This window comes from Homo sapiens, chromosome 11 (genome assembly GCF_000001405.40).
Source record: "Homo sapiens chromosome 11, GRCh38.p14 Primary Assembly".
Taxonomy (NCBI): Eukaryota; Metazoa; Chordata; class Mammalia; order Primates; family Hominidae; genus Homo; species Homo sapiens.
Genome location: NC_000011.10, coordinates 125,220,531 through 125,238,801, shown reverse-complemented (window position 1 = coordinate 125,238,801; position 18,271 = coordinate 125,220,531). Strand labels below are relative to the sequence as shown.

At 47.6% G+C, this 18,271-nt stretch overlaps 1 protein-coding gene across 28 annotated transcripts in view, besides 2 other annotated features; it reads right to left on the bottom strand.

Annotated features, from left to right (window-relative positions):
* The window catches only part of PKNOX2 (PBX/knotted 1 homeobox 2), a 268,639-nt gene that overhangs the window by 194,588 nt on the left and 55,780 nt on the right, over positions 1–18,271 (bottom strand). For 17 of the 28 annotated variants that reach the window (NR_168082.1, NR_168078.1, NR_168083.1 and 14 more), the window contains exon 2: positions 3,687–3,757. The exons of 10 other annotated variants lie outside the window; for them this stretch is intronic. The gene's annotated coding sequence lies outside the window, so the exon portion shown is untranslated. Of the gene's footprint in view, positions 1–3,686; positions 3,758–13,383; positions 13,707–18,271 lie in introns of all 28 variants that reach the window. One more of the 28 variants, NM_001382333.1, reaches the window with a different exon arrangement.
* Positions 9,172–10,166: an enhancer, noted in NCBI's record as "H3K27ac-H3K4me1 hESC enhancer chr11:125098532-125099526 (GRCh37/hg19 assembly coordinates)". NCBI's record gives its function as "activates a minimal SCP1, AML or CMV promoter by ChIP-STARR-seq in primed H9 embryonic stem cells {active_cell/tissue: H9 hESC(primed)}" and the evidence as "EXISTENCE:reporter gene assay evidence [ECO:0000049][PMID:30033119]".
* Positions 13,917–14,529: an enhancer, noted in NCBI's record as "NANOG-H3K4me1 hESC enhancer chr11:125094169-125094781 (GRCh37/hg19 assembly coordinates)". NCBI's record gives its function as "activates a minimal SCP1, AML or CMV promoter by ChIP-STARR-seq in primed H9 embryonic stem cells {active_cell/tissue: H9 hESC(primed)}" and the evidence as "EXISTENCE:reporter gene assay evidence [ECO:0000049][PMID:30033119]".

Sequence of the window (18,271 nt, the reverse complement as noted above, 5' to 3'; positions counted from 1 at the left end):
GTCCATCTGTTTCCTTCATGTGCCCAAATTAAATGTTAGTTTCCTGACCTAAGTTTCACAAAAGGGGACAGAATAGGAAATCATTCCATACTTTCACCTAGACTCAACTCCATGAAGTAGGCCCATTTAGATATAACTAAGCAAGTTCCCAAAATCTTATCTGCACATTTAGAATCTTAGAAATGACAGTAGCATTGGGGATGATGCCATCAGACATTTCCATTTACAGAGGAGTCAACTGAGTGTCATACAAGAAAATAGTGTAAGTCTCAAGAATAGAGAGTCCTTAGTTGAATTTCAATTCTGTTACTTCCTAGGGTATTCCTCTTGCTCTCTAAGCCTCCTCTCCTCTTCTGTAATAGAGATAATAACATCATCCCATAACATAGTGTGAGGGTTCAGTGAGAAAATGCACCCTAAGTGCTTAGCATGATGCCTAGCATGTAGTAAGTGCCCAATAAGTGGAAGAATCCAAGACTCTTCCTCCAAACTCTAGCACTTTTTATCAAGACCAAGTCCACTCACCCCTCTCGCCCCTGCCCCCTCCCCTTTGGTGTTAGCCATTCTCAGCTCTCAGCCCTTTGGGGATACGGGCTGGTTGTTTCTACTCTTTGGTTGCTTGGGCTTTTTTTCTATCCCCTTAAGTCACAACAAGGCACCTAGGACATTCAGATCCTCTTCCAGGATTTAGCTGCATCCGGGTCAGAAAAATGGCAAAGGAAAGAGACTATAGTTCTTGGAGGGCACAGCCTCCTCAGGACATAGTATGTGGCAGAGGGGAAGGAAGGAGAGCAGGGGACGTGAGGTCAGGGAGGAAGGGCTGCCCAGAATTCCCCAGCTACAGCACAGACCCTTGTAGCTTCTTAAATCCTAATCTTTGTGTGAAACCTACCCCAGCTTAGAAGTCCATGGGGATGGAGGTCCAGGGAGCCCTGGATGTAAGTGAAGGGCTCAAGGCTTGTGGAGTCCTGGCTCACAGTCTAGGACTCCTCCAGACCTGACACTTGAAGCTGTGGGTTACAGACTCAACTCACTCTTGTTGAGATCGACCCTGAGGTCGAAGTTTCTGCTAGCTGCAGGACCTATTAACACCAGCATGGCCTGCCCAGGAAGGAATCCTTGCCTGGCCTCCGAGGGCCCTTTCGACTCAAACATTCTGTGAATTAAGGGACAGTTTAATTTATCTAAGGCAGGGGGTTCTTTAGCCTGTCTTTCTAGGGAGAACAAATCACCCCCAAAGAAGGGTTCCTTTTATTCTTTCTGGGAAATAGATGAGGCTGTGCTGTGCCAGACCACTAACTTGATGAGTACCAATTGTGGTAGACTGTATTCTCTAAAGACGACTGCAACAAGATACATTCCTATTCTTCATCCTGTTCTTTCAATGTGATGTTGATACTCCTTGGAGAGATGGAGAAGGGGGGTATTTATGTTCCCTTCTCTTAAACCTAGGTGGACCTTTGCAACTGCCCCAGTTGAGAGAATGCAGTGGCTATGATGCTGCTTGCCTTTGAAGGGCAGGTAATAAAAGGCAACACAGCTTCCACTTGGCTTTTACTGTCTCTTAGATGCTCACCCTTGGAATCAAGCTGCCATATTGTGAGGAAGCTCAGGCTACATGGAGCTGTCACATGGGTCTGGCCAAGACAGTCCAGCCAACCTCTCAGCCAACAGCTAGCATCAAAGCCCAGAATGATGAGGGAGCAAGCCTTTGGATGATTCCAGCAACCAGCTTTTGAGCTGCCCCCACTGAGATTCCATGGTGGCACCTGGTGGCACAGAGACAAGCTGCCCCACCACGCCCTTTCTGAATTCCTGACCTGAAGAATAAATGATGTTAAGCCATTCTGTTATGGGTGATTTTTTACATAGCCTAGAAATGGGACACCATTGGAATTAACTTGGAATATTTGCTGTTTCCCTCTCAAATCCAGCCCTCACTGGCCTTGTCTCTGAAACTTCAGACTTTTAGACCCTTCCCTCCTCAACTGGGCCCTATCACCCTGAGCCTGCCTCCCCGTCTCCTCTTCTTCCTTTCCCTCCAAAAGGCAGGCTCCCCATGCCTGAGGCCACCCTGGTAAACACTCCCTGAAAGGTCATTTGAATCTTTCCATTTCAGAGGCCTGGGACCTGAAGAAACCTGTGTTTCCTGCTTCCCATCTGTAGGCCCAAGGCTGTGTCCCTGCCAGGGAGCTTTCCTGGGTGTGGTGGCCAGAGCCAGGTGCCCGGCTGCCCTCAGGGATCGGGGGGATGCGCAGGCCTATTTCCCCCCACGCTCTCAGCTCTCATTAAGGTTCATGCTCAGCTTGCTCCTCATACTTGACTTATGAGGTCCCTCTAACCTCCGATGCGAGGAGGAGACATCGATTCTCACAAAGGTCATTATCTTCTAGTCTGCCCCTCCACCCACCCCCCGCCCCACCTCCTAGGCAGGCTTTCCTGGAACAGGATGGAGGGAGGTACCCTTCCCCCAACACCCCAGCCTGGAGATCCGACTGCTCCTGAGCAGGGCTGCAGAGGAGGTGCCCTGGGAGCCCAGGCCCGTCAATCACAGAGGCGACCGGCGCTGAATCGCAGGCCATTAGGCGGGAGGGCCGGCGCCCTGCTCACTCACCGGGCAGCCATCGGCAGGATGTTAGCCGATCGCAGGGCGGCCATTCTTATGATTTATTCAAATACTCATTACAGTCAATCTATTTTTACACAGAGGTGAAGATGTGCGCTGATAACGGTTAATCATTTATAATTCCATGGACTGGTTGGAAGCCAACGTACTATCAAAGTCGCGGCAGCAACAGCTCAGCCTCAGGTAGCCCCATAAGCAGCGTGGGGAAACTATGCCTGCCCAGGGCAACTCAGTCATCCAGGTAACACTTACTAAAGAGCGACTAGGCTGAGTGTGCAGTGGGCAGACTGAGAAGTAGGAATCCCAGACTTTACCCCCCAGGAGCTCACAGCCTTGCTGGAGAGGGTTATGGTTATGTGACAGCCAGAGGTGGGGACAGAGGCAGGGGACACAGGCAGGGGCAGCGTGTGTGAATGCTGCGGAATTTCAGAAGGGGAAGAGATCGCTTCCAGCTGGCGTTACCTAGGAAGGCTCTGCAGAGGAGGCTGGACTTAGGCCGGGTCCCACAGGTGGGTAGACTTTTGCCAAGTGGGGAGAACCAATATGAGCAAATAAGCCTAAGAGGTCAAGCTATTACTGGGCTGATGGAAGGGAAGCGGTCAGCAGCATTTCCTTTTTCCTCCCTCATGCCTCCCCAGAAATAACCAGATGTAAAAGCAAGTGCAGGCTATAAACTTGGCCGAGTTTGAGGACTGATGTTGCCACTTCCTCCTCTCATTGCCTTCCAGGCTTAGCCCACAGGCGATAGTGGCTGGGGTCTGGGTCGGCCTTGCAGACTCAAGAGCTTCCTTCTCCGGCACTCATGACACATGTAACACATCAAGTCCACCTTAATGCACAATCAATATAGTCTAATTAAATACGATGTCATATTACAGGGCCTCTTTGTCACATTCAGACATAATCTAATTAGAGCTCCACTGTATATTACATTCTGACTAGCTCTTTGTTGAGTGTTTCTCTTGCACAATGCATGGCTGTTAAAGATCAGGTTCAGGGCTGGTCTTTAACCCCTAACCTTATTGAGTCAGCATGGAAAACGCCAATCAAAGTTACTTACAGTTCACAGCCCCTTTTCTAGTGAGCAGCATGGAGGATAGAAAGCCTCAGAAGTCCTGCTCCAGACTTCACCTGCCAATGAAAGAAAACATCTTTATAGACTGTGTAAGATGCTGCAGAAGTGAAAGCCAGGATGGGGAAGGGGGTAAACCCAGAGGTGGGTTTGGCTCAGGAAAAAGGCCAGGGCTGGCAGCCATGTGCCCGCAGTGCTGAGTGAGAAAGCTTCCTAGCAAGAGACTCCTAGCAAAACCATTATTGTTTAGAGACCTAATCAGGGCAGAGCGAGAGGTTCATGCCCTCCTCTACCTGCTTGATGCCTCCATTTCATAGGGCTTGTATTCCCCTTCCCTATAGGACTACCAGAGGAGAAAAAAAGCCTCATGGTTGTCAAGTGCCCTGAGCTGACCAAGGTAATAATCATTTACTGGTGCCTCCTACCTATTGGAAGACCCCATGCAGGGGAACAGAGCAGAAGGGTCCCTATGAAACTTTGCAATCTAGACAGGGAAGGCTGCAAAAGGCAAGCAAACGACAACGCTGACCCTGTTGTCTACCTCAGGAATATGAAAGTCTTGCTGCAGACAAGAACTTGCAAGTGAAGGCGAAGAGTCCAATTGGGCAGGAAGAAAAATGTGCATAGAGAAGAATGATGGTGCAGGACTGGAAAGATAAAAAAATCTGCCTGCTTTTAATTCTCTTTCTGAGATAATACAATTTTGTAAAAATAAAAACAGTCAACACATATTTATCAGTTGTCTGCTCTGTAATCTACACATGCTGTCCTGTTATAAAAGCACTGCCTCCACATTGCTGGGGAAGAGAGATCACCCATATACAAGAACCCCCAATAAGGCCAGACTGTATACGAAGTTGTGCTAAAGTGTACAGAAGCGATGCCTATTTTCTCTCCACAGAGACATGAAGTCTGCAAGAGTCGCGGCACTCAAGGGAGTTTTCATGAGGAGGTGGAATTTGAATGGGATCTTGGCGGACTGGACAGACAAGAATTGGCTGGTGGGAGGGAGGAGAAGGCATTCCAAAGACGGGGGCTATCCAAGCAAGGGCCAAGGGGCAGAAAGGCATGGAGGGTCCTGGGATGACGCAGAGACTGGTCTGCCTGACAGACACTAGAGGAGAGAGTAGCGCCAGCTCAGCAAGGTGGGGCCAGAGCATCCAGGGGTTTTGGTGTCAGGCAATAGAGGGCAGGCTAGCCTGTGGGATCACAGAGACACTGAAGGATGTTCAACAAGGACTTGACATAATGTAAACCCTCACATGTCCCTGCCATCTTTAGCACTTTCCCTTTAATTAAGACAAGCAAGCCTTTTTGGAAGAAGGTGGAATTTCAGTTAGAAGATTCAGGCATGGGGTGTAGTGAGATGTGCTGAGGAAACCAAATTTTCTCTCTGGTTCATGATGACTTCCTCGAGGCAAAGTCATTTCCTCAGGGGCTGTCTCCTTACACCTGCATGATCAAGGCTCATAGCTCATGGAGGTGCCTCAGAGGCGGAACCAGACCACTGGACTACAAACCACTGAGGAAAAGGACCATGTCTTCTGCATCTTTATATCCCCAGAACCTAGCAGAGTGCCCAGCCTGTGCTGGGTTCTCAGTAAATATCTGCTGAAAAGTTGAATGGTGGACTCTCATCATTCCAAGCAGAGTCCACCACCAGCACCTCAGAACCAACCCTTGGCTGGCAATGGGTTCCAACTTGTATTATTCTAAACTACTTACGTATTACTACTGAGCATGATATGAACTTGGCATATGAAGTCTCTAGATTAAATTACATGGAGCTGTATGCTCTATCCCTGCCCTGTGGGACTGTCTGTCTGAGACACCTGTGACTTGAAAGAAGATATGGCCAACTTTTCAGGTGCACATGATGCAAAGCTGAGAAAAGCAGTTACTGTGCTGGAGGGCTAGATTCAAGATTGTTATAAAACTTTTAGCAAGCTGAAAGAACAGGCTAAAAGTTAAAAGTTCACTTTTCCTTTCCCAGTTTTTATTTCTTGCACAATAACATCATGACAACTACCAATGAAATAATTTTGAAAATGAAGAAAAAAATGCCCACAATCTCATTACTTTAAACCATCAAATTAGTATATCCTACGTCCACGTGCAAACCCACTTTTTTTTCACAGACTCTTGTAGAAAAGATTTGACAGGAATATATATACCAAATCCCACTCTTACATTAAAAAAAGTATTGCAAAACAAAACAAAACAAAAACAAAAACAAAAAACCATAATGGGATGACCCAGTTTGAAAAAAAAAAAAGACTTGGATTATTTGATTTAAATCCAAGCTCAAAATGAGCCCAGGATATGATATTGTTGCCAAACTCACTAAATGTGATCATAGGCTGCAGTAATAGCCATATGGTACCCAACTGAGGGTTGAATGATCTCCTCCATTCTGAACTTACCAGTTTGTATTAGTTCTATATGTAGTTTTAGCATCATATTTTAGGAACTTCGACAATGATGAATAGAAAAGAGAGGAGAGAGAAGATGTCTAGTGGTTAAATTGTGGGTTAGAAGTCTAGTAGTTCAAAGGGTAGGCTCTGGAATCACACTGGATAGGTTTCGATTCTGGCTTGACCATGGGCAAGTTACTTAATGCCCCTGTGCCTGTTTTTCATGTATAAAATAGGGCTAATGCTAACTCCTCCTCTGAGGGTGGTGGTGAGGATGAATGACTTAATATACTGAAAGGTTCGTAGAACGCTGCCTTACACAAAATAAGCACTCGCTGAATGTTAGCTATCTCTGCTGTTGTGGCTGTTTTCAGTATTATTAGGAGGCTATGAGGCAGAAGATATGGTAGAAAAAACTAGAGATGTATCTTCCTTGTCCCTTTCTAAAATTATCCACTGGTCCTTGCTCTAGTGACTAAAGCAATACAATCCTTCTCCCACATGGTAGTCCTCCAAATATTTGAAGAAACTATGTGAGACGGGGACTGTGTTGCTCTAGAGGATAGGATTAGGACTAACTTTAGATGTTAGCGGAAGCCAATCTGCAGTTCAACATAAGAAAGAATTCTCTGGCAATGAGAACCATCCAGAAATGAGCGAGTCTTCCTTGGAAGGTAGTGAACTCCCAACACTGAGAGGAGAATCGTGCACTGGGTGAGAAGCTGCTCAAAGCATGTTTCCCTGATTTGGGTTTCAGCCATCAGTAAAGTGTTGAACAGCATTCGAAGGCTGATAGTGTTGACAAACTTGTATTTTGATAAAACATTAATAGTGTCTTCTCTCACCATCATTTCATGAAATAATTCATCTCCCCCAAAATAAAGAGTGCAAAAATCTCACAATAAAGAGCCATCCTTTGAGAAACGGAGCATCATTTTCTCTCTCTCTCCACACACACACACACACCCCCCACACACACCTGTGTGTGTAAGCACATGCAATCTCTACACACTGTACTTATGTTTCACTCATCAATATGCACCACTGAAAAAGTCTTCCTGGACTGGCACTACCCCATGGATGCCTGTTGGGGAACCATCCATGTGCCTGATGTTTTTAGGGCCTTCCAAAGCCAGCTGTCTGTGATCCTCACAGGCAAATAATCATGGCAAAGGCTTTCAGCCATGCAATAATGCAACCAGAATTTGAACTCAGGCTTGTCTTATTCATCGTGAAAATAAAATGGAATCATAAATGAGATTGGCGATTCACATTTGTAGATATGAGGGAATTTATGAAATGGTAAATGAGGAGGGAGTTGAATGGTCATGCTTATTTGGAAAAGAGGCGGGGAGAGGGATAGAAGAAAGCTTCCCATAGGAGGTAGCGTGATAGAACTTGTCTCTGCATCCTCAAGGATAGCTGTGCAGGCATCTATGAAACATATCCAGGTAAAGAGGAAGATTAGCTGGGGGTTTAGCAAAGCCATAGGTCTGACACAGAGAGCACCAGACCGGGGGGTCAGCCAGACATGGATTCATGCCCTGACTCTGTTATTAACTTACTGTTTGATCTTGGACAAGGAACTTTAATCGCTGTATGCCTCAGTTTCCTCATCTGCAAAGTAGTAGAGTTAAACTACCAGATCTTTAAAATAAAACTCCATCTGACAATCTCTGAGATTGCCCAAACCAATCCTCCAGAGAGGGCACTAAGTCTCTTGCTAGCATGGTGTATCATTGAGGTTAAGAGTAAAGATGCTGGAGTCAAACAGTTTCAGGTTTAAGCCAGGGCCCATCATTTACCTAACCTTAGCTTCTATGAACCTCAATTTTCTCATCTTTAAAAGTGTGCTAACAGTAGCACCTTTAAATAAGATGGTGCATGTACCATCTCATTTGTGCAATGCCTAGGACATATTAATAACTTAATTAAAAAATGGCTGCAACTGAATAGGAAAAAGAGAGGCAAATCCAGAAGACTGAGGACTTCTACATTCATCCTACTGCCCATGACAAGTTTTCCTATTCTTGCCCAAGCCAGACTTTGGGGATGAGGACCAAATTGTGACAACTCCTTCTTGAACACTAAGAGTCTCTCTGGATGCTCCTGTCCTCTGCAAAGCCCTCTGTAGGCCTATAAGCCAACCTTCCAGAAGAGAAACAAAACTTTGGTGGAAAAATCTGATTGAGATGGGCCATTCCAGGAGCAAACACCTGATGGACCACTCGTCCCTCCAACAGCGTATCTGCAGCTCCCACCATATCTCACTGAGTCCCTGCTCTGTTCCACCCGTGCACCCTCATCACCTGACAATGTTTTGCAGTTGCTTACACTTGTTCCATGAGGTTGTCAGTCAGGCACTGTGGCCCCTGACCAGCAGGCTCTAAATGACACAATAGTTATGTAATTAAATAGATATAATTACCTAGTGCTAACTTGTTGCCTCTGAGACTCTTATGCATCCAGCACTGAGGGTACTGCACGGCCTTCCTCAAAGCCCACTGGGCCTGGATGCTAATTCCACACTAGTCCTCAGCCCCCTGTGCCACAGGCAGTGCTGGGCACCCAGTTGCAAAGGACCTGGAAAGGCTTCCTCTGTGACACCCCTCAGGCCCTGCCCAGGCCAAGCCTCGACTCTTGGGCCTGGACCTGTCAGTATAGGTATGAATATGAAGTTATCTTAGGAATGCTGGCAGTGGTGGGTTAACCTTAATATTTATCCCATATGGGAGGAAGAAGTGGACATACTTATGACCTTTCTACACCAGGCAGAAGCAAGCAATTTACCCTCCAAGCCTGGGATGGGAAGACTCACATACACTGGGTGGTGTGGGCTCACAGAGTGGCTTGGTCTCAGCAGAGGTAAACCCTCGAGCATGAGGGTGGGCCTGCTCACAAGCAAGCCCCCCCTGGCCCCATGGACATCCTCTGTAGTGCTAAAACACCAAGACCCAAGACTTACTAATTCTCCCTCAGAAGCATCACTGCTCTTCTACCCATCCCATTGTCATTAACCCAACTCTCCTTGTCTCCAGCCTCACACTGTTTTTGCGCATCCACCCTACCAACCCTGCCCTGGGAATCTTCCTAAAACACAATTTTCATCTGTCCATGTCTCCTTTAGTACCCTTCCACGACTCCTTATTGACTGGCAGAGGTTGCCAACTACCAGCCCCAAGGTTGACTCTTGCCTGTCCAGTGTTTTTATATCTGCCAACATCTAAACCTTGCAAAATTTCACATTTAGAAATCTGGATTCCTAACTTTTCTCCAGAAATTGTATGACCTAAACATGCCAATTCTGCATTTCCACATGTCGATCATTGGATGAGGTAGAGTATCAGCCGCCTCCTTTTAACTGGGCACATGTCCTCCTGTTTGCCCCATAGAGAGAAGGCAGGTGTTGCCCCAGAAGTCTCCCCCGTCACGGGGCCAGACACCTAGAGGCTGACTCATGCTGCCTGCTGAGCAGTATCGGGTTCAAGGTGATAGTGTGGGGGTGGTGGGGGTGTCGCATTATGTTCTCAGCTGTGCCGTACTCAGCTGCATGCTGGAGGAGGAGGGCCAGGAAATGCCAACACCGCTCCCACATGGACCCACCAAGTGTCTCTCCCTCTCACCTGGGCAACTCCTCCACTCCTAGTCGGGAAAGAGCTGGGGAAAGGTCTTACTGCAGTTTCCCAGGAATGCCAGTGGCCAGAAGGCAGGTGCTGAAGGCTTCCCTTCATTGTGGACACTTTCCCCACCCCCAAATCTGTAGCGGTTGCACCCCCTCCTTTTATTTCCATCCCATTCCTCCTATCAAAGCCCTAACAGCACATATTTTGTTAATTGTACAAACCTAATGGGGGAATGCATTGGCAAAAAAGGGTAATGGCCATCAGACCAGCAATAAAACAAAATTAATGGCCCATAGGAAGAAATCATGTCCACTTAATCCTGGCTCCGAAACTCTAATAGAATAATGGAATACCAACCGAGGGTTTTTTCTCTCTATGCAGATTGCTTACACCATGTTAATCACTTGCAAAGCAGGCCACATACCACTCCGGCTCACATGACCCTCCAGGGAAAGTAGCAGACCAGAAACATTCAGTGCAAGGCTCATTACTGACATGGACCATACAGCAACACCTTCCCTCCCTCCCCCAGGTGACTCCGGGACAGCCAGTGTGGGGTGTCATTGAGAGCCATCAGGTGTGGTGGGCCAGAAAGCAAGACACCTAAGACCTAATAATAGCAAACATTTATTGAGTGCTTACTATGTGCCAGACACTGGGCTTGCTGAGCTCCTTCTATGGACTACATGACTGCCACCCGTTTTCATCCTCTATAGCTGCATGGTGCAATAAGGTAGCCAAGGGCCACGTGTGACTTTTAAAATTCGAATTCTAATTAATTAAAATGAAATGAAATGTAAAATTCAGTCCTCATTCTCACTCACCACATTTCAAGTGCTCAACAGCACATGTAGCTAGTGGCTGTCATACTGGACGGCTCAGATGGAGCACGTTTCTGTCATCGTGGAAGGTTGTGCAGGACTGAGTTGCTCTAGAATGTTAAGGCTATTGTATCTTTTTTGTTTAACTGATTTTTAAGCAAAGGAGGGGAGAGGAGCAGTACACTACCCAAGGTCATGCCATGCCACTGATACACGGCTGAGCTGGGTTCTAACCCTCATCTAACCCAGGCTTGCTCCAGCCAGGACCAGCAGTGGAGGCAGCAGGGGGCCTCCTGAGCCTTTCAAGGCTGGTAGAAAGTCTCTTCTGTTCTCTGTGGCTCCTCCGGGGCTCTCTGAGAAACTGCCTTTTGCAGCAGGTGCCACAGACCCAGTGAGGTCAGTAGTTGCTCAAACGGCGTTAATGAAGAAAATGAATATTGACTTAAGGGACAGCAGAAAATAATTAAGACACCTTAAAAACATGCCTCCACTTTTTACATACTATAAACCCAAAGGAAGCAAAAGTGGCGACTGAAGCAGATACTTGTACACTTGTGTTCATAGCAGCTTTATTCACAGCAGCCAAAAGTGGGAGCAACCCAGTATCCATCAACAGATGAGTGGACAGACACAATGTGGCATGCATACGTCTACATCCAATGGAATATGATTCAGCCTTAAGAAGGAAGGAAATTCTCACACATGCTACAACATGGATGAACCTCGAGGATACTATTCTAGGTGACATAAGCCAGTCACAAAAAGACAAATACTGTATGGTTCCACCTGTACAAGGTACTGAGAGTGTCAAACTCACAGAGATAGAAAGTAGACTAGTGGTTTCCAGAGGCTGAGGTGGAGGATGAGGGACTGGGGAGTTGTTGCTTACTGACTACGGAGTTTCAGTTTTGCAAGAGGAAAGGCGTTCTGTGGATGGATGGCAGTGATGGTTGCACAACAATGCGAATATACTTAATGTCATCAAACACCAAGGCAAATTACTGACATGCACCATCTAGCAACCCATTCCCTCCCTCCCCCAGGTGACTCCAGGACAGCCAGCGCAGGGTGTCATTGAGAGCTATCAGGGGTGCTTAAAAATGCTTAAGATGGCAAATTTTATGTGATATATGTTTTACCACAATTTAAAAATACGTATATATGCCACCACTAATATCTCCCAATTTCTATCAAGAATAATAAAAAAATAAAGAGCCTGAGATCTTTAGGAGTAGGGGAAGGAGCAGCTCATCAGTCCAAGGAGAGGATAAGGGAGCCAAGGCCTGACAGAGAGAGCAAGGAACCCAGAGCCTCCCAGCCCCAGCGGGGAGAAGTCAGAGGAGAGGCTGCCAGGGAGGAGGGACTGTGTTCCTGAGGATGGGACAGCTGGGCCAGCCTGCAACAGGGAAGGCAACTCCAGAAGGCTGACACTGGAAAAATGAGCAACGATTTAGGATTAAAAAAAAAAAGGAAAAAAAAAAACCTGGTGAGGGTAGGAGAGGGGGCCAATTAGGAGTGTAGGAGAGTATCTACGCTCCTAGTTGTACCATCTAGGTGTATATCCACAGCAATAAAACGATAAGCAGGAAATCTAAAAGAAGAGGGGAATAGGAGGAAGAGAAAGAGATGAGAGGATTTGGGCACCTAATGTGATGCAGCAGTCAGTAATGGTTTGGCGTGTTGGAAAGGGTGTAGACAGGACCTAGGAGACGGCCCTTGTCCTCATAGTGTTATGACTCTGTGCACATTGCCCTAACTCTCTGGGCCTCAACTTCCTCATCTATTCAACCCAGCGGCTGTACCAGAGCAAGAAGAACCTTAAGGTGGTAGCAGTCCACAAATCCCTGGAAATTTTACCCAGAATAGTATTTGTGTGTAAGTTTTTCCGGGGAGAGGTTTACAGATTTTACCAAGATTTCAAGGCTATCCACATCCCCTGAGAGGTTAAAAATCAGTGGAGAAGATACTCACTGGGTTCACATTCAGCCATAAAGTCCTAAAATTCCAAGAAATCTTGGACCAGACACCAATAAATCTTTGGAGGGGTCAAATAAATCCAGATGTCTATTCCTGCCTTGCCTGCAAAGCAGACATATTGTAAAAATGAAATGAAATAATTACATACTTTGAAAAGTTAATATTACGTGTCTTGTGCAAGTAAATATTGCTGTTGTTGGTTCACAGGAAGCAAGAGAAATTCTGCAGCAGGCAGAAAGGAGGAGGCAAGTTGCCACACCTCTGCTTTCCTGAACAAAGGCAGTGTGATGAAGGGATGTGGATGGGCTACAGGTTGATCCCTGGGCTTTTCTCATTTGGTTGGAAATAAAGAGGCCTTTAATTCCCCTTGTGGAGAAGGGTCTAGCTCAGAGAAAAAAAGAAATACAGCCTACCCAGGAGGTGCACCCCAGGGCAGAACACATGCATCTCTTTGTGCTAACAAGACCTCATTTTGCATCCAACTTTACTTTGGAGGAAATTTTCAACTGTGTGACTGAGAAAAGTGACAGACTGAAGATGCATCAGGGGAAAACAGCACAGGCAGAGGACAGTATTTGGCACCAGAGAGCCAGCCCCAGACTGGAAACCCTGCATAATGACTAAGCCAGGGTCGCCAGGCCAGAGGGGACATTGCTACCGTGGGCTGTGCCCTCCAGGAGTAAGCCAGCCCAGAGGCAGTGGGTGGGGGAGCTGGAGTCTGGGGCAGCTCAGTGCAGAAGTCAGTGCTAGAAGTGAGATGGATGGGCCTGGGCAGACTCTTAGAGATCATCTCTCTTGACCTCCTCATTTCACATTTGAAGAAACAGTTCAGAGAGTGGTGGAGACTTACTTAGAGAAGTCCAGGATTGGAAGTCATGCCAGTAATTCCCTTCATTCATTTACAAAATGTTTTCTGAGCATCAGATCCTTCACTAGGCTGGGGGTCAATGACGAACAGCAATTCCAGTTCCCTGCCCTCAAGGAGCCCACAGTCTAATGAGGGGACAGACAACCAGTTGACTAGGGAGTTAAGTATGATCCAGCAGCTCTATAGGTCCTGCAGGACGGGTTCTCCCCAGCAGGCGTTTCAGAACCTTCTATTCACTCCCCTTTGGGGCAGGCACATCCAGACAGGGGCATGTTGAGGGTAGGCCACACTTTCTCAGACCAGTGCTGGAGGGAGTAGAAAGAATTTCACTATCAAATCCAAGCCAAGCTAACAGTCATTGGCATCTCAGAAAAGATGCCATCCAGGCAGCCATCCGAAGGCCACTGGAGGGAGCACCCAGCACCCAGACCCTGGGGGAGGGAGATGGACCCCACTCCAGCAAGCCTGCCACAGTCCTCTCCAAAGGGCACCACGGCACTTCCCATTCATTATTCCCTAACTTGCCTCCGGGGGGCGGTCCTGAATATTGTTTCATAAATAACTTAACAGGGCTCCAGCTTGTTTCACTGAGGTTAGACAGATGTGTACGGTGCTGGCTGATTATGAGGGAGTTTGGCTGTGCTGAATGGTTCTGGGATGCTGATTCTCTGCGGAGGGGTGGCTCAGTGGAGAAGGCAGCCGCGGCTGGTGTCCCCACCTGGATCTGGGATCACAGCAGGATGCTGAAAGAGCATTTGTTTCCAATTGTTCTTAGCCACTAATTTGGCTCCTGGGTATAACACCAATCTGAGAACAAACGGAGTAGGAAAACTGCCTTTCTGAGGGAGGCCTGATTTCACCATAAACAGGCAAGGGGCGGGAGATTTCCTGAGTTCACAGCACAGGCCTCGGCCTCCCAGGCAAGGCCGGCAGCTTCAATCTCCAACCCAAGTCACCCTGACTGCACGGCCATCTGCCTGCCTCACCTGCGCATGGCTCCTCCGAGGGGCTCCAGCAGAGGACAGATTACTCTGATGGCAGGTAGATAAAATGGGATCCCTTGCTAGCAGTAACTACCCTGAACAATCTCTCTCCTGAGCAGCTGACAGTCTCCACCTGGCACCTGCCAGCCACAGAGCTTGTGGGTGGCACCGGCTGGATGGGCTGGCCCGGGCGACTCCCCAGGCACGGAGAGGCCAGGGAAGGCCCTGCTGAGGCAGGACTTGCTGGAAGAACCCTCTGTTGGGCTGCAGGAAGGTCCGCCTGAGACATCCATCAGAAGAAGACACAAAGGCAGCTGTGTTTCTGGCGGACTGAAGAGCTAGCAGCGTCCAGGGGCAAAGGGGAAAAGCTGTGTGAGCAAGGCCGCAGCAGCCGCTGCCTTCTCAAGACTCATGTGCAAGATCGCCAGTAACAAGAGGCCCTTCTTGTCGCTAAATTGCCTTCCTGTGGCTTAAAATAATTGAATCAGAGAACTTTCAGTGTGACCTTCTTGAAAGCCAACTAGGAGATATCATGCCTTTACCAACCCTTGTGGCCTTCACTCACAGCCTCCCAGCTGCAATGTCATCGTTTCTAAGCCAAAAATGCCTTCCTCACCAGCATGTGATTTAGCTATTCAATAGCTTCATAGATCCAACGTAGTATAAAAATACTGGAGGAAAGAGGACAGTTGTTTTTTTTTGTTTTTTAATCTTCTGGAAGTCAAAGTACATGCCACGAAATCTTTGCATTAAAGTTTATGAACCTTGTTCAAAAGGAAAACTCTCAGGCCCTTACTGACGGCTTCGTTACTCTGGTTTTACACATATTTCTAACAGACTAAGTTACCTGGTACCTTGAGCCTCAGCTGATTAGAAGTATTAAAAGAGGGCTGGGCGTGGTGGCTCATGCCTGTAATCCCAAGACTTTGGGAGGCCGAGGCAGGTGAATCACTTGAGTCCAGGAGTTTGACACCAGCCTGGCCAAAATGGCAAAACTCATCTTTACTAAAAATAGAAAAAGTTAGCTGGGCATGGTGGCGGGTGCCTGTAATCCCAGCTGCTCAGGACGCTGAGGCAGGAGAATCACTTAAACCAGGGAGGCGGAGGTTGCAGTGGGCCAAGATTGCGCCATTGCATTCCAGCCTAGATGACAGAGTGAGACTCTGTCTCAAAAAAAAAAAAGGACTAAAAGAGGAAGAGTGTGGGCTTCCCCAGAAGGTAAACTGAGGTATGGAGGGTTGGCCTAGGAGAGAGTTAAAGGGCAAACCAATGTGTCATTAAATGAGGCTCAATCATGTTCCAGATAATTTACTTAAGAAGACAGGGAGGATGTCCACTTGTAATATTTACAACATCCTCAGGGTACTTGAAGAAGTAAACCATTAGCCATCTAGAAAATCCCAGACGAGAATCCTTCTTGGTGGTTCCAGGCTGCCGGGCTCTTCCTGTAGGTTGTCTGGTGTGTTCAGAAGCTGCTTGCATTCACTCCTAACTAGGCTCATTCATTCATTCAACATTCATGGACTCCTCCAGTTGCTGGGTCACCCCAACAATGCAGAAAGCAAGATGAAAGCAGAGACACCTTTCGATGCAACACACACACACATACACACGCACACACACACACACATACACACATACACACACACATACACACATACACAGGCACACAGACACAGACACACACACATACACACACACATACACAGCACACACACACATACACACACATACGCACACACATACACACACACATACACAGCACACACATACGCACACACATACACACACACATACACACACATACACACAGACACACACACACACACACCAGGAGCACCTATTACACATTAGGTGCTTGACAGATGCACATTGTATAGATGTTAGAAAAGGCATCTGGAAAGAGCAGAGGCCAGCCAGTCAGACTGTTCTTTAACCCAGTCCCTAGGTACTCAGGTGAGAATTTTTGTGAGAAGGGGCTATAATCATTCAGGGTTCAACTAAAAATATCACATGAAAAACATCAAACTGCTCCACCAAGAAAAACAAAAAGACAACATAGCCTCAACCCTGAAGAAAGTGTGGAGAAGATCCCCCCAGTGCACCTCAGAGAAAGGTTGAAGGAAAGGCATCCGTGTCAGCCCCAGAAAAAAATCCCAACTGGAAGAGAGCAAGGGGGGTGGCTCAGGATGAGGAAAGACCCATCACTGTGGCCCCAAGGCAGTTGTCACCCCTCTGTGGGCTCAGCTTCCTCATTCAGACAAGGAAGAGTTTGGGGCCATCAGTGTCTGACGTGCTTCTGGCTTCCAGGTCAAGTTCCCAGCTTTGTTCAAGGGCCAATTCTCCTTGTCCCTCTGATTTATTTTCACTGCAGCTTTGAAAGGCATGATTCTCATCAACAGTTCCTCTCCAGGCACCGCCAATCACCCCAAAATACGCATTTGATTTCTTCCCAACTGTGTTAGGTCTCTGCCTCAGGTACGCAACCAGGCGACAGCAAGTGATTCTTCTACAGCCCGGGCGGGCAGTGGGCTGTAGGTCATGGCACTACTGTCATTTTGGGGACAGGAAGTTTTTATGAGACTCACACGGGGTGGTCGGGGAGGAGGAGGGATTCCAGCAATCTGCCCTGAAGAATGCAGGTTAATAATTTATATGTGCATTTAAAAAAAAAACCTACTGAAACAAATTGCATACAAATTGTGTGACAGTCGAAGGAAATGTGCCAGTGTTGCTCAGTGAAGCATAATAAATATATGCAGCCCATAATAACAAGCTACTTAAACTCAGGGCACTATATGATTTATTAATTGTCTTCTAATCCTTTCCAGCTACAACTAAAACCAAGAGTGTGGCCGTATCTCACATACTGACTTATACGCCTCCAACACTAAACGGCGTGGCTGCGGTTAGCTCTCGGGTCCATTTTTCATTCTGGCCCCCAACTCTGCAGACGGGCCTGGAGCAGGGTGGGCTGCTTAGCAGACTGCTGTTCTCACCAAAGGGGGTAAATGTGCCCCAAACACACTGCACTTATCACATGGATGCCACACACTTCATGCTTATTTTGCCTAGAGTTCCCCTCACCTGGCTTCCCTTTCCCATCCACCTCTCCCACTGCCACCAGTACCAAGGTGCCCCTGGGTGGACCCTAGTCCACTATCTCCTGGGATGCCCCAGTGCCAGGCTCACAGCCCCAGAGTCCACTCCAGCAGCAGTTGCAGAGCCAATTAGATGGTGACAATTTTTGTTTTGTTTTTTTTTAGACAGAGTCTCACTCTGTCACCCAGGCTGGAGTGCAGTGGCGCGATCTCGGCTCACTGCAACCTCCACCTCCCAGGTTCAAGCAATTCTCCTGCCTCTGCCTCCCAAGTAGCTGGGATTACAGGTGCCCGCCACTTCATCCAGCTGATTTTTTGTATTTCTAGTAGAGTCGGGGTTTCACTATGTGGGCCAGGCTGTGATTCGCCCGCCTCGGCCTCTCAAAGTGCTGGGATTAGAATTAGAACAGAAATGGGAGCAGAACACAAAGTCCTGCCCTCTCCCTGGGACGTACTGACCCAGTGGCGAATGTAGGATTTTGCTGTTGTGTCTACTGGTTGGGCCTCCACCCTGTCCCTAGTGCTACAGATGCTGGCCTTTGAAACTTCGGAGGAACATCCCCTCTGCTTTTGTAGTCAGAAATACTGCTTTGGTGTATGGATGGATGGATGGAGAAATAGAACAAGGCCGGATCCTAGGCAAGGTATGACGGGAGAATTGCAGAGACTGGGTTCAAGAGGTGAAATGATTCCCCAGGGCTGATTGCCCCAGTGACCTGCCATTGTTTCCTTTTCCCCCAACATGCTTCTCTCCGGCCTTCCCATCTCACAATGGTGGCATCTTCC